Source organism: Homo sapiens, chromosome 11 (genome assembly GCF_000001405.40).
Source record: "Homo sapiens chromosome 11, GRCh38.p14 Primary Assembly".
NCBI classification, from domain to species: Eukaryota; Metazoa; Chordata; class Mammalia; order Primates; family Hominidae; genus Homo; species Homo sapiens.
The window spans coordinates 1,049,282-1,073,604 of NC_000011.10; the positions used below are offsets into that span (position 1 = coordinate 1,049,282).

General features: G+C 53.4%; 1 protein-coding gene and 2 long non-coding RNA genes across 4 annotated transcripts, besides 1 other annotated feature; 2 read left to right on the forward strand and 1 right to left on the reverse strand.

Moving 5' to 3' along the window:
• The first annotated feature begins 410 nt into the window (after positions 1-410).
• On the forward strand, positions 411-9,063 carry LOC124902605 (uncharacterized). The gene is made up of 4 exons (XM_047427955.1): positions 411-493; positions 598-681; positions 2,342-2,562; positions 4,958-9,063. The coding sequence occupies exon 4, from the start codon at positions 6,500-6,502 to the stop codon at positions 7,595-7,597; it is 1,098 nt and encodes a 365-aa protein (XP_047283911.1). The 5' UTR covers positions 411-493; positions 598-681; positions 2,342-2,562; positions 4,958-6,499; the 3' UTR covers positions 7,598-9,063.
• On the forward strand, positions 599-6,483 carry LINC02688 (long intergenic non-protein coding RNA 2688). The gene is made up of 4 exons (NR_160890.1): positions 599-681; positions 2,342-2,562; positions 4,958-5,111; positions 5,833-6,483. It is a non-coding gene; the product is annotated as a long intergenic non-protein coding RNA 2688 (long non-coding RNA).
• Positions 9,064-11,050: 1,987 nt separating the features above from the next.
• Positions 11,051-24,153, reverse strand: LOC107987157 (uncharacterized). 2 transcript variants are annotated; one of them, XR_001748091.2, is made up of 5 exons: positions 23,984-24,153; positions 21,839-22,144; positions 18,832-18,867; positions 14,511-14,564; positions 11,051-14,012 (listed from the first exon to the last, which is right to left on the reverse strand). It is a non-coding gene; the product is annotated as an uncharacterized LOC107987157 (long non-coding RNA). The 2 variants fall into 2 exon arrangements; XR_007062544.1 differs by having other exon boundaries at positions 11,051-13,595; positions 13,836-14,564.
• Positions 11,162-12,361: an enhancer, noted in NCBI's record as "P300/CBP strongly-dependent group 1 enhancer chr11:1060443-1061642 (GRCh37/hg19 assembly coordinates)". NCBI's record gives its function as "activates an origin of replication core promoter dependent on BRD2, BRD4, P300/CBP, MED14 and CDK7 cofactors, with strong dependence on P300/CBP, by STARR-seq in HCT116 cells {active_cell/tissue: HCT116}" and the evidence as "EXISTENCE:reporter gene assay evidence [ECO:0000049][PMID:35650434]".

Here is a 24,323-nt window from a genome sequence, read left to right on the forward strand (position 1 = left end):
GCTGGGTCTTGGCATCCCTGGGATGAACCCTCCTGGCCTGGACCTTGCCGGCCCACATCAACCCCCAGCCCTCTGCTCCTTGGCCTCACCCACAGCCTGCAGAATGTAGGTGAGTTTCCTGATGATAATATAATAATAGCAATGATGATGATGATGATGATGATGGCAATAACAATGATGACAGTCAACACTGCCGCGTGCCGGGCTCTGGCCCTTTGCATGTCTGGGCCGGCTGTACAAGGCACTGCTGGGGCTCCCGGGCTGGGAGCCAGGGACAGGCACCGTCACAGCAGCCAAGGGGCCCCCCTACCACCCCAGCACCTGCTGGCCCTGAACCAGCTGCTCCTTGAGAGCTTTGACAGACTCTTCCGCTTGGCAGCATTTTAATCTGCTGGTGCAAGAGCCTTGTCGCTTCCTCAAAGCCTGTGCCCATGGCCGTGGGCAGCTGCCTGTCCCTGTATAGGCAGAGCTGCGTCATGCCCTGTGGCCCCAGGTCTGGCTCTGGGGTTCTGGCTGGGCGGGGCCTGGAACCTTCTGGGAGTCACCATTGACTGGCTGCAGCCACCGGCTTCCCAGCAAGGATGTCCTCTTCTGTAGGAAAATGGGGACGTCGGGAGCATTCTCTGGACAGCAGGAGATGCATGTCGACAGGCTGGCCCTGCCTCTTCCCACCCCAGAGTGGTGAGTGGGGATTCTGGGGACTTCCCTGGCCCCCATGGGCCTCGCGTGTCCTGGTGCCCATGTGTCTCCAGTCCCAGGGTCGGCCACGGTGTGGACCCCTCCACTTTCCTCCAGGCCTGAGGTGGGGCCCGGGCGGCCTGTCAAAGAAGAGCCCAGCCCAGACCCTCCCCAGATCCCTGGGGGAAGGAGGCCACCAGGCACCCTGCCTTCCTGCTGCCTGTCAGGGTGAATCTCAGGGGACCCTGGTGCAGGAGGGGCTGGCTCTGAGCTGGACAGGCCTCTGGGGTTGCCCTGGTGGCCTTCCCTCTCTCTGGGTCAGACGTGCCCAGGCAGGGAGGGTCCAGGCCATGACAGAGCCGGGCCAGCTGGGGACAGGGCATCCCCCAGTGCAATCCTTGTAGCGAACGGGTCCTAGAGTGCAGCTGGCGGGACACTCCCGCCATCACTGGATTTACTGCAGGTGGAGACGGGTTCTGTACCCACGTAGATGAGGAAACAGGCACAGAGAGGGGGCAGCCTGCCCAAGGTCACCGGGGAGGGAGTGGAGAGGCTGGATGCCCTTGGGCCCAGACTGCAGCCTCCCCTCCCCGATGTGCTGCGGCCCCAGTGTCCTGGGCCCCATGTGGCGCCTGAGCCCACAGGTGTCACCAAAGGTCTGAGTTGCGGGGACAAAGGCGGGGACAGGCCCGAGGTGCGGGGACAAGGGCGGGGATGGGCCTGAGGTGCAGGGACAGAGGCGGGGACAGGCAACCCCTGCGGTTCGAGGGGTAGGTGGCCACACGTCAGTCCCTGGGAGGGCCAGGCAGGAGGTGGGCCCAGCGGGGCTGGGAAATGAGGGGCCAGTGCCCCCACGCTCACTGCAGGGGATGTGAGAGGGCGAGTGGTCGCTCAGCCACACCCACACCCGTGTGTACAGGACCCACGCCCGCCCGCCTTGCTGTCCCGCCCGTGCACGGCTCACACAGCTTCTCCCATTATTCAGGCGCTGCCGGGCCCTGCAGGACTCAGATCGTCCCTGTGCCACTTGGCAGGGTCACCCTCACGCCTGCCCGGTGGCCCCACCTGCCCCACCTGCCCAGCTTCTCTCCCTTCTCAGTGCTGTCTGTCCCAGAGCCTCCCATCAATGGGGCCAGAGGGCTCTGGCCCGGCTGTGGGCTGACTGTTCTCCCCAAGATGCCTGAGAGCCACCCGGGCACCGGACTTGCCAACATGCAGGCACACGCAGGCACACACCTGGGCCACACGGCCCTGAGCACACGCCTTGCCCAGCCCTCCTCCGGGCTGTGGTGCGGGTGCCAGGTGCCACCTGCTGGCGGGCTACAGCATCACGGCTCTCGCCCTCCGGAACCTTCCATGGTGCCACACCAGCCTCTGGTCTGGCTGCAGACGGCTTGGGCTGGGCAGGGAAGCTTCCACTGTCGGGGAACCTGGGACCACAGTCTTTGCTCCAAGCGCCCTGGGCGGGTAGAGGCCAGGTCCGGTATGAGGAGCCCTGGTTCCCTGAGGTAGACAGAGCCAGGCAGACGTTGAGGAGACATGGGGGCTGTAGCCCTGGCCCCACTGCCCGACTCTCTCTCTGCATTTCGGGAGCTGGCAAGATCCAAGGGGGTCCCCAAGGCCCTGAGGCTGCACTGAGCACCCCTTTCCTGCTCATTTTCAGATGCAGCGGTGTCCTGGACCCCTGGGGAGAGGTGACCCCCCCAGCAGGAAGCTGGGCCTGGTTTCTGTCCCTCTGCAGCCACAAGGCCTGGCTAGGATGCTGGGAGCACCACACCCTGGAGACTCAGCTCACCAAGGACTCAGGGGCGGGGGCTCCCCTGGCACCTGGGAAGCTGGGCCCCCGGCCCCCTGGACTCCCACCCAGACACCATCTCAACCCAGGTCTGTCTGCTCTCCCCGTCACTGCCCTGGGTTCTCCACTCCTGGACCCGACCCTGGTCCTGGGGCAGTGTCCCAGCTGCTGTGTCCCAGGCCCCCCATCCACTGCCCTTGGCCCACCTTCTATGTGGCCCATTAGAGGGGTGTGGGGGCTGCAACCTGCTTCTGCTGAACCCCTAGGCCTGCCAGGGGGCATCAGGATTCTGCACAGAGAGGCAGGGGACCCGGCCAGACATGCAGGTACCCACGTACCTAATTCTGGGCCTTGGGGCAAGGACTGCGTATTTATCCTGGCCCAGGCAAGTCTGGGGGTGTCTGAGGGGTGGTGAGACGTCTGGGCAGATTGTCCCTGCCCTGCTCTGCTCTGCCCCACCCTGGCCAGCCCTCCTGGCTTCTCAAGGTGCTCCTGGCCACGATGGCACAGTCCCCCAGGCCCAAAATGTGCCCCCATGCTGCCCGAATGCCAGTGCGGGGGCTGGTAGCAACCAAGGCCATGCCCTCCCCTCCCCCTCCTGGGGCACCTGCCCCCACGCTGTGGCCATGGCTCCCTGGCTCCACCAGCTTCTTGTGACCCCTGAGGCTCCCCAGCTCCTGGCCCCCCATGGAGAGTTCCCTCCCCATAAGGGGGGGCCAGACACCCCCCTGTGCCCACTCCTTGGGAGACTGGCATTAGATCCTGGCTGTGGGACAGGCTGGGCCACTCTGGGGGTGAGACCAGGCTTCTCCCACCTGGGGGACCCATCCTGGCTCCGGACTTGGGCGGGTGACAGCCTGGGTTTCCTGTGTCCTCACCGCCCGCTTATCAGCAAGATGGGGATGTGGATGACAGGAGTGCTGGCCACGGAGGGCCTGGTGTGGGTGGCCGTCGGGACGAGGGTAGTGTGGGCGGCCACGGCAGTTGGTGCTACTGCTGGGAGGGGCCGAAGGTGAGGCCCTCCTGGGCTGTGGGTCCCTGTAAGCCACTGCCCCCGTGGGGTGTGCAGTCACCAAGCCGACCTGCTGCCGGGGTTCCGCCCCCTCCCTTTCCCTTCTGCTTCCCCGGCACCTGTGTCCCAAGCCTGAAGCCCTGTCCGTGTCAGAGGTGGCACCTCCCTGGGCACGGGCACTTGGACGCTGGTGCCTCCCCTGCTGCGGACCCCTTTGCTGTGGTCAGGGCCTCCTCCCTGCACTGGCCCCGCCTGTGACCGCAGGCCTGGCGGGGCCCTCAATGGCCACAGAGGGCACAGGCCGGGGCCAGGAGGGCACCGTCTCCTGGGGCACAGATATGCTGGAGTGAGCTATGGAATTGTCCATCAGCAGCGGCAAGCTTTGCTGAGCGCCAGCTGTATGCAGAGCAAAGGCGGGCCAGCCGGGAAGGGCCAGTGAGGACCTGGAGTCCCCAGCATCCCCAGGAGCCTGCACCCCTACGCGGGGGACGCCTGGGCAGCTCCTCCCTCCTCCACTCCCCGCCCTCTCCTCCCCTCCTTCCTGCAGTTCCCACAGCTGTTTGGGTGCCTCCCGTGGCGCCTGGTTGAGCTGCAGGGGGAGATGTGTGTGGACACTGCAACCCTCCCGAAGCTGGGCCTGGAAGAAATGACTTCCCCAGAACCTTATCTGGGCCGGAGAGGGGCGTTGGCAGCGGGGGTCTTGCCGCCTTCCGGTCCTCTGCATGCCAGGCACCACCTGGGGCCGGGCCAGGGCAGGCTGCCTGGACACCATGGACCTGCCCAGCTGTAGGGGAGGTGTGTCCTGCAGCCCTACCCGAGGCCCAGGCCTGCGTGGCTGAGAGGACTGAGGACGGCTGACCCCCTTGGTGACTGCCTGGGCCCAGAGGGGAGTTGGGGGAGTGGTCAGCTGGGTGTGGCCAGCCCTGGGGGAAGGATCCAGGGACTGTGTCCACTTAGGGATAGGAGGCAGCTAGCAGAGCCCTCCCAGCTGACCAGGGGAGGCCCTGTGGGCACAGGAGGGGCCCCAGGTGTAGGTACAGGTGCAGGGCTGTGCGGCTCTGTGTCACCCAGGTGGAGCGTCTTGCCCCGTTTGATGGCTGACAAAGTGCCCTTGAATGCGTCAGACCCAGCGTGGTCCCAGGGTCCTGACCCTAACATACCACCCCAAATTACCCTCACCCCAGCCTACCCCTGCCCTAAATTCACCCCAAGCCTCCACCCAAACCCCTTAGTCCCAACACCTTAACCCTAGACCCAACCCTACACCCCAAGCCCTAATCCCTAACCGCTAGCCTCACCCTAACCTTCCTACCGGATGCCACCTGGCAAACATCCTCCTGGCCCCTATCTGCCCCTCCCCCGGGGATCCGGGAGGCAGTGGGGTCCCTGGGAGGCTGCTCCCTGCAGAACGCGATGGACAGATGCATGGGCACCGGGCCCCAGCACCCTCTGGCTTCCTTCATCCTCCCCAGGCACTTCCCCCGGGCCAGAGGGCAGCCTGGCAGCCCTGGACTCCGGGAGGGCCGAGTCTGGGGAGCTGGACGACGTCACATTCCACTCTTGATGATGCCGCCCCAGTCCTACAATCTGGACAGCAGGAGAAGCTGCCCATTTCCTCCATCTCCGGTAATGAGAAGCAAATGCTGATCCTGGCCGTCTCCTGGCTCTTGGGTCCCTAGGTTCCTGCTGCCCCTGCCAGTTCCTGGAAGATGCCAGCAGGAGGGAGGGCAGTGGAGCTGGACTTGCGCCCACAACAGGATCTGGCCATAAACGCAGTCAGGGCGAGGCTGCGGGGTGGGTGGCTGAGCCTCCTGGTGGACTATCTCCCCTCCCACCCCCCGCCCTGGCCCGCAGCTGTTGGCTCTTCCTGGGAAGCCACAGCCTTTGTTTGTTCCTTGAAGGAGCTGGTGCGTTGCCTGCGAGCTCCTCTGCAGGCTTGGGGGTCGCACCTGCTGTCCACCCCCCTCGAAACCAGCTCCATCCAGCAGCAGGCTGCAAGCCTGGAGAGGCCACCGGGGACCAGGCAGGGAAACTGAGGTCCCAAAAAGGCAGGGAACAGGTGCAGGGGGCCTGTCTGACCTGCGCTGGGACTGGGCCAGGTGAGTCTCCTCCAGGGCCCAGCCCCATCTTGGACAGAGGAAGTTGATAGTCAGGAAAGGCAGGAGTGGCCTCTTCTAACAATTTCAGCTCTGAAGGGGCCAAGGGTGGCGATGCTGACAGCATTTCCTCCAGCTCCCACCTGCCTGCTCCGGGGAACTCCCTACCCAGGCATTGATATTCACCTGGTGATACTAATAATTGTCTCAGGTGATAAATTGTCTCAGCTGCTCTCCCACATGGCCCACAGGTCCCTGGAGGTTCCCCGGATCCTTTCAGGGAAGACCATGGGCCCTAAACGATCTTCATAACAAAACTGAGAAGTGGCCTGGCTTCTTCACTGCGTGCCTGTGTGCTGGGATCTAGCGTGGCCCGACTGGGCAGCTCCTTTCCTTCCCTGACGCTGCTCCAGGGGAAAGAAGGACCAGGGTCAATCCGGGGTGCCCCAGGTGGATCAGCGAATGCCCCTGAAGCCAGGTGCCAGTTGCATCCCCGTCAGATGCCCCCACCCCAGTCTCCTGAGCCTCATTAGTCACCCCTCATTTTCCTCTGGGGACCCCAGGCCCCAGCTCCTGTCTGGTTAGAGGCTGAAGGGGTCTGAGCGACACCTACCCTAGGGGACCTCCGGAGGGGTCTTGGTGTCCTCTGACTTCTGTCCTCAGAAGGGAGCTCAGAATGCAGCTGAGGCTTCCCCTGGGGCCCAGGGTGTCTGTGTCCGAGCCACAGCCAGAGTGTGCCCTGGAGAGTCGCTGGGATGCACGGTGGGCTCTCGTCATCCTGTCCCCACTCCAGGCTCAGGCTGGAGCCGTGATGGCACCGCTGCACTCCAACCTGGGCAACAGAGTGAGACCCTGTCTCTATAAAATAAAAACAAAAATAAAGAAGAGCATGTGGTTTCTGCAGTTTCCTGGCCAAAAATGCATAACTCCAATCTCAATCATAAGAACACATCCAACGTCCCCAACAAGGGGAGGTTCTACACACACCTGCCCAGAGCCCCTCAAAAGTGTCAAGGTGTGAAAGACATGGAGGCATGTAGAAGACGGGAGAGCCAGTGTGGCCTGTGGTATGTTCATGACGGTCACAGGTCAGCGCCCACGGTCACTCAGCAGCCATGCCAGGCAGGCCCCAGGGGCCCAAGAGGAAGGTGGGATGTGGCGGGATGGGGGCTCTGCACGGCCCTGCAGCACAAGTGCCCTGCCGACTCCAGGGGCAGCAATCTGGTCCCCTCATGGTGCCATTCCCCAGGGACGGGTCCTCGCCTGCCTCGCCGGCCCTCCACAGACAGGACAGGGACAGGTCGTCAGCTGTCACGGAGGCCCTCGCAGTTTTCTGAATGTGGACTTGCTGTTCCTGCCCATGGCTTCGTCCACGGACTCGACAGCACCCCACTGTCCATCACACCCCCACCGATGCTGCTTCCCACAGCAGGACTCATCCCATGCTCAGGCAGTGCTCCCAGGAGCAGCGGGTTAATAGAGCGTGGGACGGCCCCTGAAGACCAGTTATGGCGCCGGCCAGGAGGCCCTCTGAAAGGACGGGCGCAACCCCGCAGAACAGACCAGGTGCTCGCCATCCATGTCCGGTGCCGCTTCTCTGTGGCGATGGTATCCAGGAATCACGGGTGGGAGTCACGGCCACAGTCCCTGTCGCACCAGCCGCCTGCCCACACAGCCACCGTTCACTCTAGCTTGAAGGTCCCGCTTCCTCAGGGAGGAGCACTCCCTCCAGGGTCGAGGTGCTGGCCGTGTGGAGTTCGACGTCGGGACTGTCCCCAGGGGCCTCTCTTCCCACTGAATCGACAGAGAGAATGTGAGCTTGCTGTCCGGCGGGCGGGGCCGGGGATCCTGTCCGTCGAGGGGACACCGGATTGCTGCGGAGAGAGGACTAGACCCAGAGTCCAGCCAAGACCAGAACTGAGACCAGGCGACCAGCAGAGCCTGCACAATAATAATGCTTCGTTTTGCAAATGTATTTTGTTCTTTTATTGTATATATTTATCATGTCCAATGTGATGTTTTGAAACGTGTTTACATTGTGCTTAAATCAAGCAGCATAACACACATGACTTCACATACTTCCCATTTTTTTGTGGTAAGAACACTCAAATTCTACTCGCAATGATTTTCTTTCTTTTTTTCTCTCTCTTAATGATTTTCAAGGATGCAATATGGTGTTATTAACTGTAGTCACCATGCTGTGCAGTACATCTCTTGAATTTATTCCTTTTGTCTAACGGAACTTTTTTTTTCTTTTTGAGATGGAGTTTGCTCTGTCGCCAGGCTGGAGTGCAGTGGCACGATCTCGGCTTACTGTAACCTCTATCTCCCAGGTTCAAGCAACTCTCATGCCTCAGCCTCTGGAGTAGCTGGGATTACAGGCACCCGCCACCACGCCCAGCTAATTTTTTTGTTTGTTTGTTTTTTGAACCGGAGTCTCACTCTGTTGCCAGGCTGGAGTGCCGTGGTGCCATCTTGGCTCACTGCAACCTCCGCCTCCTGGGTTCAAGCGATTCTCCTGCCTCAGCCTTCTGAGTAGCTGGGATTACAGGCGCCTGCCACCATGCCTAGCTAATTTTTGTATTTTTAGTAGAGATGGGGTTTCACCATGTTGGCCAGGATGATCTTGATCTCCTGACCTCATGATCTGACCGCCTCAGCATCCCAAAGTGCTGGGATTACAGGCATGAGCCACCGCGCCTGGCCTAATTTTTGTATTTTCAGTAGAGACGGGGGTCTCATCATGTTGGCCAGGCTGGTCTCGAACTCCTAACCTCAGGTGATCTGCCTGCCTCTGCCTCCCAAAGTGCTGGGATTACAGGCATGAGCCACTGTGCACGGTCTGTAACAGAAACTTTGTACTCTTGGACCAACCCCTCCCCAGTTCCCAGCCCCTATGTCCCTGGGTCCTCTCTCTGCTTCTGTGAGTTCAACTTTTCTAGGCTCCACTTATGTGTGAGATCATGCAGTGTCTGTCTTTCTGGGCCTGGCTTCCTTCATTCAGCATGAAGTCCTGCAGTTCATCCATGTCGGCACCAATGACACAATTCCCTCTTCTGTGGAGGAACAGTTCTCTGACGTGGATGCACCTTCCTTGGCTGCTGGACGCTGAGGCTGGTTCCATGTCTGGCCGTAGTGGACAGCGCTGCGGCGAACATGGGGTGCGGGTGTCTCTTCTGCGTACTGATGTGGCCTCCGCGTGTCACGCCCGGGAGTGGGACAGCTGGATTACGTGGTGGTTCTGTTTTCAGTTTTTTGGGAATCTCCATGCTGTTTTCCATAACGGCCATCATCACAGACTTCTTATCATGAAATCATTTTAGACTCGTAGAATCCTGGTAAAAATAGTATAGAGAATGGTGATCTGTCATCTCTGGGCAGGGCAAAGGGAGCTGGGGCGACCAGGCAGGAGGGAGGTTTGCTTTCATGATCTGTTCTTTACCTATTCAAAAACAATTAAAATAAAGGCCAAGGCAGATGGATCACTTGAGGCCAGGAGTTTGAGACCAGCCTGGCCAGCGTGGTGAAACCCCATGTCTACTAAAAATACAAAAATTAGCCGGGTGTGGTGGGGCACACCTGCAATCCCAGCTACTCGCGAGGCTGAGGCAGGAGAATTGCTTGAACCTGGGAGGCGGAGGTTGCAGTGAGCCGAGATCGCGCCACTGCACTCCATCCAGCCTGGGTGAAAGAGTGAGACTCTATTGCAAAAAAAAAAAAGAAAAGAAAAAGAAAAAGAAAAGAAAAACCAGAAAAAACACATAAAATGCGCCATTGCACTCTAGCCTGTGTGACAGAGTGAGACTCCATTTCAAAAAAAAAAAAAGGCTGGGCACGGTGGCTCATGCCTGTAATTCCAGCACTTTGGGAGGCTGAGGCGGGTGGATCATGAGGTCAGGAGATCGAGACCATCCTGGCTAACACGGTGAAACCCTGTCTCTACTAAAAATACAAAAACTTAGCCGGGCGTGGTGGCGGATGCCTGTAGTCCCAGCTACTCAGGAGGCTGAGGCAGGAGAATGGTATGAACCCATGAGGCGGAGCTTGCAGTGAGCCGAGATTGCGCCACTGCAGTCCAGCTTGGGTCGCAGAGACAAACAAACAAACAAACAAAAAAACCCAGAAAAAAACCACAAAAAAACCCCCATTAAAATAATTTAAAATTTTAAAATAATGTTTAGTAAAATAATGTTTAATAAAAAATAATGTTTAATGTTTAATGTGAGAAATGCTTATATGGTAAAAAATAAGGAAAAAGGATAATTTAAAAAAGAGTGAGAAGAAAATAGAGTCAGATATTTATCTGATCTTTAGAGAAGAGCACTTTTCTAAGCATACAAACAAAGGAAGAAATAATAAAGAAAAAAAGTGACAAATGTGTTACCTCCCTAAAAACGCGTGCGTAAGAACAAGGGTTTGATCCTCACTGACGGGGTCCCAGGTGCTGACTCGAGTCCAGCAAGCCCCAGAGCCAGAGGCTGAGTGCAAACCACGGAGGTGACCTCCATGGCAAGAGCGGTGTGGCGTGTCCGTCCCGCACAGACAGAAATGCGGTCCAGGGGTGTGGGAGGACCATGAAGGGGTCACGCTGAACGTGCTGCAGGTGCCCACCAAGCAGACAGTCTGCCTTTCGAGGTGTGGTTCAGGGAGTTAGCAGGGCGCTAACCGCTGGCTGCTTCGTTGGGTGCAACATAGACAGAAAAGGGGTCACATTAAACTGGAAAGGCCAGACCTGGCTTGGTTTACTGTGGAGGAAGGGATGCAAAGGCCTAGGGAGATTGGAAGGCTAGGGTAGGTTTGTCACTTAAGACCTCCTCACCCACCAGAAGGTCCAGAAGACAGACCTTTCCCCACACTGGGAACTAGATTAGTGAGTGGGGTAGAAATAGGGACAGATCCCTGGGCTGCTCTTCTCTGAGGGCCACAGACCTCACAGTGGGAGCCACAGCCACTCAGCTGGAAAAGAGTCGCAATGGGAAGAATCGACCCGGGACAGCCGAGCGGTGGCTTTCAGCCGTCAGAGGCGAGGGGGACCTGGGACTGCCAGGAGGTGGCTCTCAGCCGTCAGAGGCGAGGGGGACCTGGGACTGCCAGGAGGTGGCTCTCAGCCGTCAGAGGCAAGGGGGATGCGGGCGCCATCATGAGTAGCAGAGGCAGAACGACAGTCAAGCTGGGCTGACCCCTTAGCCACAGCTCTCCTAGGAGGAAAACAGAAAGCCTGGGAAGATGGTACTGGATCTGCGGGAGGCCAAGGTCGGGGTGTCACCTGAGACCAGGAGTTCAAGACCAGTCTGGGCAATATCGTGAGAACCCCATCTCTAAAAACTAAAAAATTAGCTGGGCTTGGTGGTGCACACCTGTGGTCCCAGCTACTCAGGAGGCTGAGGCAGGAGGATGGCTTAAGCCCAGGTGTTCAAGGCTACAGTGAGCCAAGATTGCATCACTGCACTCCTGCCTGGGCAACAGAGCGAGACCCTGCCTCAAAATCAATCAATCAATCAATAATCATGTTCTCAGCAAATATTTAACTTCCCCGATATATTGTGGGGGAAAAGAGGCTGTAAAACAATCTGTGGTAATAACCAGGAGAACTTAGGAGCACCCGTGGGTGCCCATGCGGGCAGAGATTCACGAACACTGTTCACCCCCATAACCAGCAAGGGTGCTGCTATCCAGAACCCATCGCAGATGAGCAACTGTGCCTGCCCAGGCCAGGCCACGGCACCCAGCAGCCGGGACCCCTCCCCACCTGAAACGATACTGCCACCTGGGGACCCCAGGCCGCTGACATGGGGACGCGCTAGAGCTTTCGAACACGTCTCTGCATCTGGACATGCCCTCGGTGCACGTGTATTGCTTTAAGTTCAGAGACGTCAAATGTCATTTAATGAAAAGACTCCGGCTACATAATTGTCCCCAGGAATGCCCAGGACAATGTCAGGAATCTCCCAGACCTGCACAGAAGGTGGGAAAGATTTTGAAGGATTAAGAGGCTTCTCGGGGGAGGGGGAGGGGGACATTTTTCTTCCACCCACGGACAGTTTTGTGTTTTCTGATTTCTGTAACGAGTGCCACAGCTCTGTATGGAAAACAGCACTGCCTTTGGCGTCCCTCCCAATTCCTGGCACATGAGTCAAGGGCTCCCATAGCGTCACCGTTGAGGGCAGGGCAGCCCCGGGCTCACAAAGTAAAGAAGGAAAGGGCCAGGCCTCACTGCAGGGTCACCCCGAGGCCATAAAATCCTGCACCTTATGCCTTGGGCACCATTTAATACAATTAAACGGTGCAATAAAGGAAGGGAGTAATAAAGAAAGCAAATGTCAGCCAGCGAGGACATCCGGCACAGGCCACACCCCAGGTCCAGCCCCACTAGGGTGGAGTTTGAGGTCCCTGGGAACCCCAGAGTCTATGCACTGCTGTGCCCAGCTAATTTTTTAACATTTCTGCAGAGACAAGGTCTCCCTAGATTGCCCAGGCTGGTCTCGAACTCCTGGCCTCAAGCGGTTTTCCCAATGTGGCCTCTCCAAATGCTGGGATTATAGGTGTGAGCCAGTGGGCCCGGCCACGTGCTCTTATGTAGCTTATCAGAGTGTATGACGCTGCCTGTCCCATTGCTGGGGATGTTAACCTTGAACCCTTGGTTCAGGTGGCGTCTGCCAGGTCTCTGCACTGCAAAGTTACTATTTTGCGACTTTGTAATTAATAAATATCTTAGGGAAGATACTTTGAATTCATGTAAATAACTTGTTTCTCTTCTAACCTCAGCCTATTGACTTTAGCATACCTCTGTAGACAGCTGTTAATCCTGTGGCCTCTGATGGTGATTTTCTATTTACTTCATTTCTTCTGCATTAAGTAACTGGAATTCTATTAAAATAAGCTGTTTCTTCTTATTTGTTTGTGCAGTTATTTACTTCACTATGGGTTTGTAGATACTTATTTTATTATTTGGGTTATAATCCAACATTATCTTTATTTTGTTTCTCAAATTGTTCCAGTGTTGGCCATGGCAGCCCCTTCACAGTGGCTCCTGTGTGCTTTCACCCTATCTGTTTTTGAGCCCTTCCTCACTTTCTGGCACCATAAAATGCTCCAGGTTTATCTTGTAATTTCCTTCCCCAGAGACCCAGCTACTTCTCTAAGGAGTCCTGATTCTTTTAATTGGAAAATGGTATTTAGAAACCAAGATCTGGACATTGGGTGTGGTAGTTACTACTGGGGTGTCATTTTTTTTTGGTAGACCTTCTCAGGGGAGAATACTAGAAAGCATCTGTATATACCCTAATCCATACACACACACATTCACACACACACACACACACACACACACGTGCGCACACACATTTCTACCTATCTCTTCTATCTCTCTATCCGTCTATCATCCATGAAACACATTGTTGTAAGCCCTTGGTTTTTGGGTGCTTTGTTATGCAGCAATAGCTGACTGATACATGCGGCTGGGATTGTGCACACTGTATTTTCAGGCTCTTTGACCAGATGTCTTCCTGGAAGGCACTGGTGGGAGGTGAGGAGAGGAGATTTCTGTTCCTTCACCAGCTTCTTTCAGGGCCCTCCAGCCATAGAGGGGGGTGGCTACTCCAGCCCACCACTTCTTTTGGCACTCCCAATACTGGCTCTGCCACTCCATCCTTTCTCTGTGCTCCTGGGTTCTGGCAGCCCAACCTCTTTCATTTGTTCCCCCAGCCCTGGGAGTGGAAGCTGCTTCCTGCTGTTCACAACGTCAGGTGCCTCGGTGCCCGTCTTCTCTTCCAGCCTCCAGCACCTGTGTAACCAGTTCTCTGTATTAACTTCCTTCTGTTTGAAATAACGAGTGTGGCTTCCTTTTCCTGACTGACTGCACAGTGATGGATGTCAAGTGGACTTTCAAGGTGAGTCTGAGGTACAGAAGCTGGAGATGCACTAGCGGGTGGATGAGGAGACAGACCCTCAGGAGGGAGGGGAACGTGCGGTTTAGCCAAAGCCGCATGTAGGGAAAATCCACCACGTTCCACTCCTACATGGGAAAAGAAGGAAAGCCTCAAATCAATGGTCTCTCTACCGTAAGAAATTAGGAAAGAAAGAGAAGAGCAAATTAAGCCCAACGTGAGCAGGAAAAGCAAAATCATCAATAAAACAACAAAATGAAACACTAGAGAAAAGTCAACAAAACCAAAAGCTGGTTCTTTGAGAAGATCAATTAGACGGATAAACCCCTAGCCAGGCTGGAGAATAAAAGAGAAAACAGACAAATTACCAATGTTAGGAACAAGACAGGTGACGCCACTGTGGATTCTACACATATTACAAAGATAATAGGGGGACATCATGAACTACTTCAAGTCGAAACATTTGGCAGCCCGGATGAAAAGGACAAACTCCTTGGACACAGGATGAATCGAAGATCACTTGGGCAGAAATAACTTGAATGGCCCTATATGTTAAAGGAATTGAATTGTAAATAAAACACAACAAAGCCTTCCTGCAAAGAAAACCCCAGGCCCAGATGGTTTCACTGGTGAATTCTACCAAAGATTTAAGAAAGAAGTATGTCAACTCTGCACAAACCCTTCCAACAATAACTGAAAAGAGAGGAACACCTTCAACTCTTCCTCTGAGGCCAGTATTACCCCGATTTCAAAACCACATAAAAACATTATAAGAAGACTATGAACCTTTCCTTTGAAAGCAGTCTTTAGATACAAGCTTTATCTGACACATTAACATGTTAGACTGCTTTCAAATGAAAGACTGTGTATCAAATGAAAGAAGGGGCTTATGAAGGTGTTGGAAATGAGATCATCGGGAAAAGAGTGTGGGAAGGGGCTTTCCTATCCCTCTTATTTACAACCCAACTTAATAAACACACGGTATACTATTTCCTGCTATTCTTTGTCCTATGTTTCCTGGTTATTTTGATAATGTACTTTACCACTGTGGCCAGTTCTTCTCCTGACTCTTTCACATAAATAAAGTGTCCATATTTCTGGAAAAAAAAAAAAGAAGGCTATGAACCAACATCCCTCATAAACACAGATGTAAAAATTCTAAACAAATTAAAAAAATATTTTACTTTAAGTCCTGGGATGCATGTGTAGAACGTGCAGGTTTGTTACATAGGTAAACGTGTGTCATGGTGGTTTGCTGCACCTGTCAACCCATCACCTAGGTATTAAGCCCCACATGCATTACCTATTTGTCCTGATGCTCTCCCTCCCCTCACCTCCCACCCCCCACCAGGCCCCAGTGTGTGTTGTTCCCCTCCCTGTATCCACGTGTTCTCATTCTAAACAAGATTTTTTCAAATCGAATCAAAAAATTTATTAAAACTATAACCACAGGGGATTTATTCCAAGAATCCAGAGTTGGTCTAACATTCAAAATCAATGTAATTCATCATGTGAACAGACTAAAGATGACCAATCATAGGATCATCTCAGTCAATTCAGAAGAACGCACTTGACCAGATTCAACACCCACTCCTGATAAGAACTCTCCTAAAAATAGAATATAACTTCCTCATCCTCATAATGGCATTTATAAAAAGCCTGCAGATGACATCATACTTAAACACTAATGCTTTCCCCTGAAATCAGGAACAAGACCAAGATACCTGCTCTCACCACTTCTAATGAACATGGTGCTGGAAAGCACAGCCAGGCAATCGGGAAGGTGAATACACTTAAAAGATCTAGATTGGAAGGGGGAGTGAAACTGTGACAGATGATGTGATCATCTGTGCATAATCGAGTATCTATAAAAGGCAGCGGCAGTTGTCCCTTGATATCCACGGGGCATGGGTGCCAGCACCCCTAGGACACAAAATGTATGCGTGCGCTAATCCTCTACATAAAATGGCATAGTCTTTGCATATAATCTACATACATCTTCCCATGTACTTTATTTATTTATTTATTTTTTTAAGACAGAACCTCTCTCTATCACCCAAGCTGGAGTGCAGTGGTGTGATCTAGGCTCACTGCAACCTCTGCCTCCTGGGTTCAAGCAATTCTCCTGCCTCAGCCTCCCGAGTAGCTGGGACTACAGGCAACTGCCACCACCCCTGGCTAATTTTTGTATTTTTAGTAGAGACAGGGTTTCACCATGTTGGCTAGACTGGTCTCGAACTCCTGACCTCAGGTGATCCACCCGCCTCGGCCTCCCAAAGTGCTGGGATTACAGGCATGAGCCACCACGCCTGACCACATCCTCCCGTATACTTTAAATCATCTTTATATCATGTTAAAATTTCTATTAGGGGCCAGGGTCAGTGGCTTACGCCTGTAATCCCAGCACTTTGGGAGGCCGAGGCAGGTGGATCATTTGAGGTCGGGAGTTTGAGACCAGCCTGGCCAACATAGCAAACCCCTGTCTTTATTAAAAATACAAAAAAAATTTAGCCAGGCATGGTGGTGTGTGCCTGTAATCCCAGCTACTCTTGTGGCTGAGGCAGGGTGCGGTGGCTCATGCCTGTAATCCCAGCACTTTGGGAGGCTGAGGTGGGCAGATCACCTGAGGTCAGGAGTTCAAGACCAGCCTGGTCAACACAGCAAAACCCTGTCTCTACTAAAAATACAAAAAGTAGCTGGGTGTGGTGGTGGGCGCCTGTAATCCCAGCTACTTGGGAGGCTGAGGCAGGAGAATCACTTGAACCTGGGAGGTGGAGGTTGCAGTGAGCCAAGATTGTACCATTGCACTCCAGCCTGGGTGATAAAGCAAGACTCCATCTCAAAAAAAAAAAAAAATTAAAAGCAGGTCTTGAAAAGATATTTGCACACTCATGTTCACAGCAGTTGAAGCCACCCAAGTGCCCCTTGACAGATGAAGGGATAAACAGAATGTGGTCTGTCCTTACAGTGGAATATTATTCTGCCTTGAAAAGGAAGGAAGGAAATTCTGACACAGGCTACAATACATAGATGACATGAGGCCGAGTGAAATAAGCCAGACACAAAAAGACCAACACGGTATCATTCCACTTATTTGAGGTATCTCAAGTTGTCAGATTCATAGCAACAGAAAGCAGAATGGTGGCTACCTGAGGCTGGGGGAGAGCGGAGGGTGTGTTTAGTGGGAGCAGAGTTTCAGTTTAAGAAAAATGAAGGTGTTCTGGAGCTGAATGCTGGTGATGGCTGCACAGCATGGTGACATAGTCAATACCACTGAGCCACGCACTTAAGACTGCGTAAGATGAGAAATTCTGTTATGTGTATCTTTCCATAATAAAAAGTCCCAAAAAATCAATTGTATCTCTCTATATTAGCAATAAATAATTGGAAATGGGAACAAACAATATCATTATAACGGTACAAAAATATGAAATACTTAGGGAAAAATCTGACAAAGGATGTGAAAGACGAGTACGCTGAAAACTGTAAACCATTGGGAGGGAAATTAGAGACCTGCAGAAACAGGTATGTACACCTTGTCCATGGGCTGGAAGACTCCATATTGCTAGGACGTAAGTTCTTTCTAAACTGATAAATATATTTAATGCAATTTCAGTCAAAATCCCTGCAGGCTTTTTTTTTTTTGGTAGAAACTGACAAATTGAGACTAAATTCAGAGGGAAATGCAGAGGACATAGAAGAGCCAACGCAGTCCTGAAAAAGGGGCAAAGTTGGAGGAAACTGAAACATTGGCTGGGATTGAGAACTGTTACAAAGCTACAATAATCAAAACAGTGCAGCATTAGCATAATGACAGACAAATAGGTCAATGAACAGAGTAAAGTCCAGAAACAAATTCATGTGTATATAAACAATAATTATTTTTTCTTTAAAAAAATTTTTTTTTGAGACAGGGTCTGACTCTGTCACCCAGGCTGGAGTGCAGTGGCATGATCTCAGCTCACTGCAACCTCTACACCCTGGGCTCAAGTGATCCTCCCATCTCAGCCTCCCCAGTAGCCATATAGGCACATGCCACCCCACCTGGCTAATTGAATTTTCAACAAAGGAGCAGAAGTACTGCAATGAAGAAAGAATAGTCTTGTCAACAAATGGGGCTAGAACAATTGGATATCCATACATAATAAGACAAACTTCAAGCCATACCTCATACTACATATAAAAAATTAACTCAAAATGCATCATGGAAAACCCCAAACTATAAAATTTCTAAAAGAAAACATAGGGGAAAATATTTGTGTGATCTTGGGTTAGGCAAAGATTTCCTACATGTAATACCAAAGGCAAAATTTATAAAAAAGTAAATTGATCAATTGGATTTTATCAAAATTTTGAAACTCCTACTTTAAAAAACACTATTGAGAGAATGAAAAGACAAGCCACAGACTGGGAGAAATATATCTACAAAGGATCTCTCCAATAAAGGACTCGTATCTAGAATACATAAATAATGTTTAGATCTTAAAAAGAAACCCACCCCAATAACCCAATAAATAATGGGCAAAAGATTTGAGTAGGCGTTTCACTAAAGAAGACATATGGGGCTTATAAGCCTGGGAGTAAACTGACTTTTTTTTTTGTAAGAAATTAGATATCCTAAGTTAAACAGTCACACAAGGATGTGAGGAGAAAGTGCTTTGACAGGAATTGCTATACTAGTCACAAGTACATTACCAAAGATTTCTCTATAATGGATTTAATATTTAAACACAGCACCCAGTATTTGTTGAAAAAGCAAAACTATATAATAGGGGTTTTTAAAATAATTTTTTTTTTGAGACAGTCTCACTCTGTTGCCCAGGCTTGAGTGCAGCAGCACGATCTTGGCTCACTGCAACGTCTGCCTCCCGGGTTCCACTGATTCTCCTGCCTCAGCCTCCCAAGTAGCTGGGATTACAGGTGCGCCACCACGCCTGGCTAATTTTTGTATTTTTAGTAGGGATGGGGTTTCATCATGTTGGCCAGGTTCATCTCAAACTCCTGACCTCAGGTGATCCGCCTGCCTTGGCCTCCCAAAGTGCTGGGATTACAGGTATAAGCCACTGTGCCTGGTCTAAAATAAAGTTTTTTAAAAAGTGAAAAAAAGAAGACATATGGATGGCAGATAAGTGTATAAAAAAATTCTTAACATCATTAGTCATTAGTGAAATACAATTTCAAGTAATAATGAGACAACATCACACACTTACTGGAGCGGCTAAAATTAAAAAGACTGACCATCCCAAGTGTTGACAAGGCTGTGGGGTAACGGATGTCTCATACACTGCCGGTGGGAATGTAGAAAGGTACAACCACTTTGGAAAGCAGTTTAGCGATTTCTCAAAAAGTTGAACATAGACCTACCTGTCTGATCCAGATACTCCACTCCTAGGTATTTACCTGGCAGAAAAGAAAGTGTATGTCCACACTAAGATTACACAAATGTTCGAAGCAGTTTTGTTCGTAGTGGCCTCAAATGGACAATGAGCCCAGTGTCCATTAGCAGGGAATGAATGAGCCCAGGAAGGAATGAGCTATTTACACAGCAATGCTGGATGCAATCTCAACATAATTATGCTTAGTGAAAGAGACCGAAGAATGCATACTGTATAGTTCCATTTACACAGAATCCTAGAAAATGCAAACAAATCTGCAAAGTCCTAGAAAATGCAAACAAATGCCATGGAAAAGAAACCCTGGGTAGCTCCCGAGTGGGGAAGGGTGGGAGGGAGAGATTCCAAAGAGGTGTAAGGAGCCCTGTGTGGGTGATGGGTGGGGACATATTCATCCTGATTGGGGTGGTGGTTTCCCAAGTTCAACCAATTTATGTCAAAACTGACCCAATCATACACGTAAACATGTGCGGTTTATTGTATGTCAATTCTAACTCAGTTAAGCTGTTTTAGCCTGTGTCAACGCACTTTCCTGACCAGTAAATCCTAAGTGTTTTCCTTGTTGCCACATAAAATCCTAGTCATAATTTATAGTGGATGCATGTTATTCTAGAGTTGTTTGGCTCTTAGAGATTTAAAATTAATCAGAGAAATATATTAGAGCCCAAACTATAGTGACAGTAAAAAATGACCAGTGCTTGCCAGGGATTTGTGGGGAAGGATGGAATAGCTGAGACACAGGGCATGTGTTAGGGTGGTACAACCATTTTGCATGCTACTATCCTGGTGGATATTTGACACTCTACATTTGCAAAACCCAGAAAACTTAATAGTGCAAAGAGTGAACCTTGATGTACACAAACATAAAAATATTCAGGAGGTTGAGGGATGCCACAGATGAAATGCGGAATGTGGCAAAACAATCCAACTGTATTTCAAATGCATGAAATAAACTCACAGAAGGGGGCGGGGGTGGAGGGATGTTGAAGGGCCCTGACCTTTGGGCACTTCGGCAAGGAGCAAGGGGGCACTGAGATTCCTGCCCTGGGGCTACGACACCACCCAGGAACCCCTGATCTTTCTGTTACTTATGACTGGGGTTTCTCCAAAAAGCAACAGTCTCCTTTGCAAAAAGTGGCCACACCATTATCAAGCGGTGGACAGTGTAAGTTTGGGGCTGGGAAGATTCTCTGGGACCACATTGCAGCTCTGCCATTCTTGGGCTGGGTGAGCCGAAGGAGTGCTTTCACCCTCTCTGAGTCTCAGTTTCCTTGTCTATAGGATGGAGTGAGGTGAGTGCCTTCCTCCCAGGGTTGAGGGCTCCAGTGAGGTGGGCCTATAGAGCAGTTGGCCTGTACTTGCTCATCATGAGCTCTTGTGAGGTGGAGCCCTGTGGAGCTGCCACAGAAGGTGAACTCCAGTACCAGGGAGATTTCATTTGTCCATCCTTTTACCCACCCACCCACCGATTAATCCATCATCCACCCACCCACCCACCCATCCACCCACCCACTCATCCATCTATCTGTCCATTTGTCCATCCATCCATCCATCCATCCATCCATCCATCCATCCACTCATCCACTCATCCATCTCTCCATTCATCCATCCACCTATCCAGTCACTCACTCACATATCCATCTATCCATCCATCCTTTCATCCATCCATTCTTTGACCCATCCACACATCCATCCCTCCATTCATCCATGCCTCCATCCATCCACCTATCCATTCACTAACCCATCTATCCATCCATCCATCCATCCATCTATCCATCCATCCTTCCATTCACCCATTCATCCACTCATCCATCCATCCATCCATCCACTCACCCACCCATTCATCTATCCATCCATCCACCCACCCATTCATCCATCCCTCCCTCCCATCCATCCATCCCTGACCCATTCATCCATCCCTTCCATCCATCCATCCATCCATCCATCCATCCACTCACCCATCCACCCATCCATCCATCCCATCCATCTACCCACCCACTGACCCATTCATCCATCCTTCCCTCCCTCCCTCCCATCCATCCATCCTTTCATTCACCCATTCATCCATCCATCCACCCACCCACCCATTCATCCATCCATCTAACGATCTGTCCCTCCCTCCCTCCATTTATCCACTCATTCACCCAGCCAACCACCCATTCATCCATCCGTCCACTCATTTACCCACTCATTTATTGATCTATTCATCCATCCATCCATCCATCCATCCATCCATCCATCCATCCCATCCATCTACCCACTGACCCATTCATTTCCCCTCCCTGCTTCCCATCCGTCCATCTATCCATCCATCCATCCATCCACCTGCTGACCCATTCATTCCCCCTCCCTTCCTCCCATCCATCCATCCATCCATCCATCCACCCACCCACCCACCCACCCACCCACCCACCCACCCAGAAGCAAAGTTATTGAGTGCATCTGCTGTGAGGGTGGCCATGGGGGGCCCACATGGGCTGCTGCCCTTGCAGCATTCGGAGCAGGATGGCCAGCAAGGGTCACACAGTGTGGCCAGGGTGGTGAGAACAGTGTTCAGTGTGAGGATGTGACACCTGGACCAAGTCTTGAGGGGCAAGTGCCCCAGGGTGTCTGGACTCCTGAAGCACAGCTATCCACCTGATGGCCCTGGCCCTGGGCTGCCCTTTCCTCAATGGAGCCTGCCCAGTGCCCGCCTGCCCAGCAGAGGCCTGGACTGGTTGAGGCCTCTCTTGATCCCTCACCTGAGAACAAACGCCTCTGTGTGCTCACTTGCTCACCCTCCACACCTCACAGAGCAGTGGCACCAACATCCCGCCTTTCACCTCTGCAGTCCTTGGGAGGTGAAGTGCACACCTCCAGGTGTCTCCGAACCTTTGGAGCCCCAGAAAGTGGACATGCTTGGGGTGTCTGAGTCTGCCCTGGAGAGCTGGACGTGACTGGTGTTTTATTTGCCCTCCCTTGAATCCTCAGATGCTCACCTGCCAGGGTGTAGGTCTGGGCCTTGCCACTGTGTCCCTGTGTGGGGCTGGGGTTGGAGCTGGGGTCCTCCTTGGTGTCCAGAGGGCTGAGAACCACGGCTTCTCTGGGTGTGCTCTCCATCTGCCCACCAAGGCAGGGCCAGAGCTGTGGCGCTGGGGTTGGGTGCCAGCCCCCACCACCCTGGTTAAGCCCAGTTGGCTGGGGGCTGGGCAGCCTGGTGCTGGCAGGGTTGGCTGTGGCAGGATGGCTCTGGCCTGCAGAATGGGTGTGGGCCAGCCTGGCCTCTTGTGTCCTGAGATGCTGGCCTTGAGATGGAGACACAAGATGCTCGGTGACTCAGTTTCCCCTTCTGTAATGTGAGCTAATAATCAGACCAACCACATAGGGACATGGAAAAATGGCCCCAGATGACACATGTGACTGACATGTGGGCAGCCTGCACTTGCTGGAGGCCGACATTTCAGTAATCAGCAATGGGGGCCACGTTTGGACCAACACAGGATGTAGGGAGACAGGGGCTGCCACGTGGGGATACCTAGGGCTGCGGTGTGGGCGGGTGGAGTGCTCTCCAGGAAAGCAGGCTCTGTGACTGGTCTCCCGCCCCCGTGGGAGAGGTATTGGCCACATGGGGAGTGCTTGCGGGGGTGGGTGGTGATACTCCAGGGAAGCAATCAGTGGGGCATGGGCCATTACTTCAGGCAGCCTAGGGTGGGCCTCAGGCTGGAGACCCCCGGAGGCCATCAGGAGGCAGCACGTCCTGGAGGCAGCACGTCCTGCTCCTTGGAGGACCAAGGTCTTTTCTTTCAAGGCCCTGCACTGATTGTGTCAGACCCACCTGCTTCGCCAGGGTCACATTTAAGAAGTCCCTTCACAGCAGCATCCAGCCCGGCGCCATGCCAAAGACTGGAGCCATGGCCAGACAGGCCGACTCACAAAGCCACCGTTCGAGCGACCGGGACGTGTGCAGGGGACGCACCTGCTGTCTTTGGCTCCCCCAGCAGCATAGGGGTTCTCTCTTCTCGCCCCCTCCCCAGCCTCCTCTTCCCCTTCCCCTTCCTCCTCCTCCTTTCCCTCTCCCTCTTCCTCCGGTGGCTCTGACCCCCACATGCCCCTCACCCGGGCTTCCTGGTGAGTCAGGTTTGTGGATACACAGTAGGGGGGCCGTCACTTCAGGTGCCATGTGACGTCAGTGCTGCCTCCTCCCTGCAGTCACTACTGCAAATTCCATGCAGCCGTTGGCAACAGTGTCTTGTCACGGTAAACATGTTGGGCGTGGGCAGGGTGGGGAGAGGCTGGGGGGGCCAGGATGCTGTCTGTGTGGGAAGCTGTACTCCAGGATGCTGTCTGTGTGGGAGGCTGTACTCCAGGATGCTGTCTGTGTGGGAGGCTGTACTCCATGCAGCCTCGTTCTGAGTCCCAGCCGGGGCCTGAGGCTGGGGCAGCCTGACATGGGGCTGGGGATGTGGGCTCCTGGCTCAACTGTGTCCGGCCCGCCGTTGGGTGGGTGGTCATTCCCACCACTGCCATCATGTTCTTGTCACAGAAAGCAGAACCGACAAGCATTTTCCTCGGAGTGGTCAAAGCCCCCACTCTCTCCCTCCACCAGGGTCCCTCGAACCCCATGGGAAAGCCACAGAGTGGCGATGGGGTCCCAGGGCAATACGGCTGCCCACTCTCCCACTCTGCACTTGCTGGAGGCCGACATTTCAGTAACCAGCAATGGGGGCCACATTTGGACCAACACAGGACGTGGGGAGAGAGGGGATGCAGTGCTGTGGAACTGCCTGGCCCCCATCGCCTCCACCACCACAGTAGATGCTGCGAATCTGGCAGTGGGGACCGGCTGAGGCTTGGAGGCAAAGAGGCTGGGGACACTCTCGCTTTGGGGGTGCCAGTGACTCCATAGTCGCCCCGGCCTGATGGAGCCCTCACTGTCCTCTTCCCCAGAACAGCTCCCTTTCCCCGTTAGGAATGGGGTTCAGCTCTCTGCACCCTGCCCCATGCAGGGCTGCCTGTAACCTCAGACAGGGCTCCTACCTGGGACCTTGCCATGGGCCAAGAGGGGTGTTGGGGTCAGACCCCTGAGCCTGGGAACCACCACTGCCCGTCCAGAGGGGACACAGGGTCAGATCTAGGGGACCTACCTCAGGCTTCAGGGCTGGAGGGGCTGTGCTGGGCAGCTTGTGCTCCGCTAGGATTCCTCCAATCCCCCCAGGGCAGGGGGAGCCTGGCCTGGAAAATCTCTGTCCTGAGGCCCGCCTGGGGCATGTCAGGGTCAGGGGACTGCAGTTGGGGCCGTCCTTGGGTTTCCCCAGGGCTCAGTGCCAGTGTGCGGAGGCCCACACCAGGAAGTGAACAATGATCTCCTCTGGCCTCGCCCAGCTGGCTCTGGTTTCCTAATCCCCGGTCCTCCTGGCAGGGGCCACACACTGAGCTTCCTCCACGTGCCCAGGTCCTGGCAGGGAGCGCAGACCCTGGGGCCTG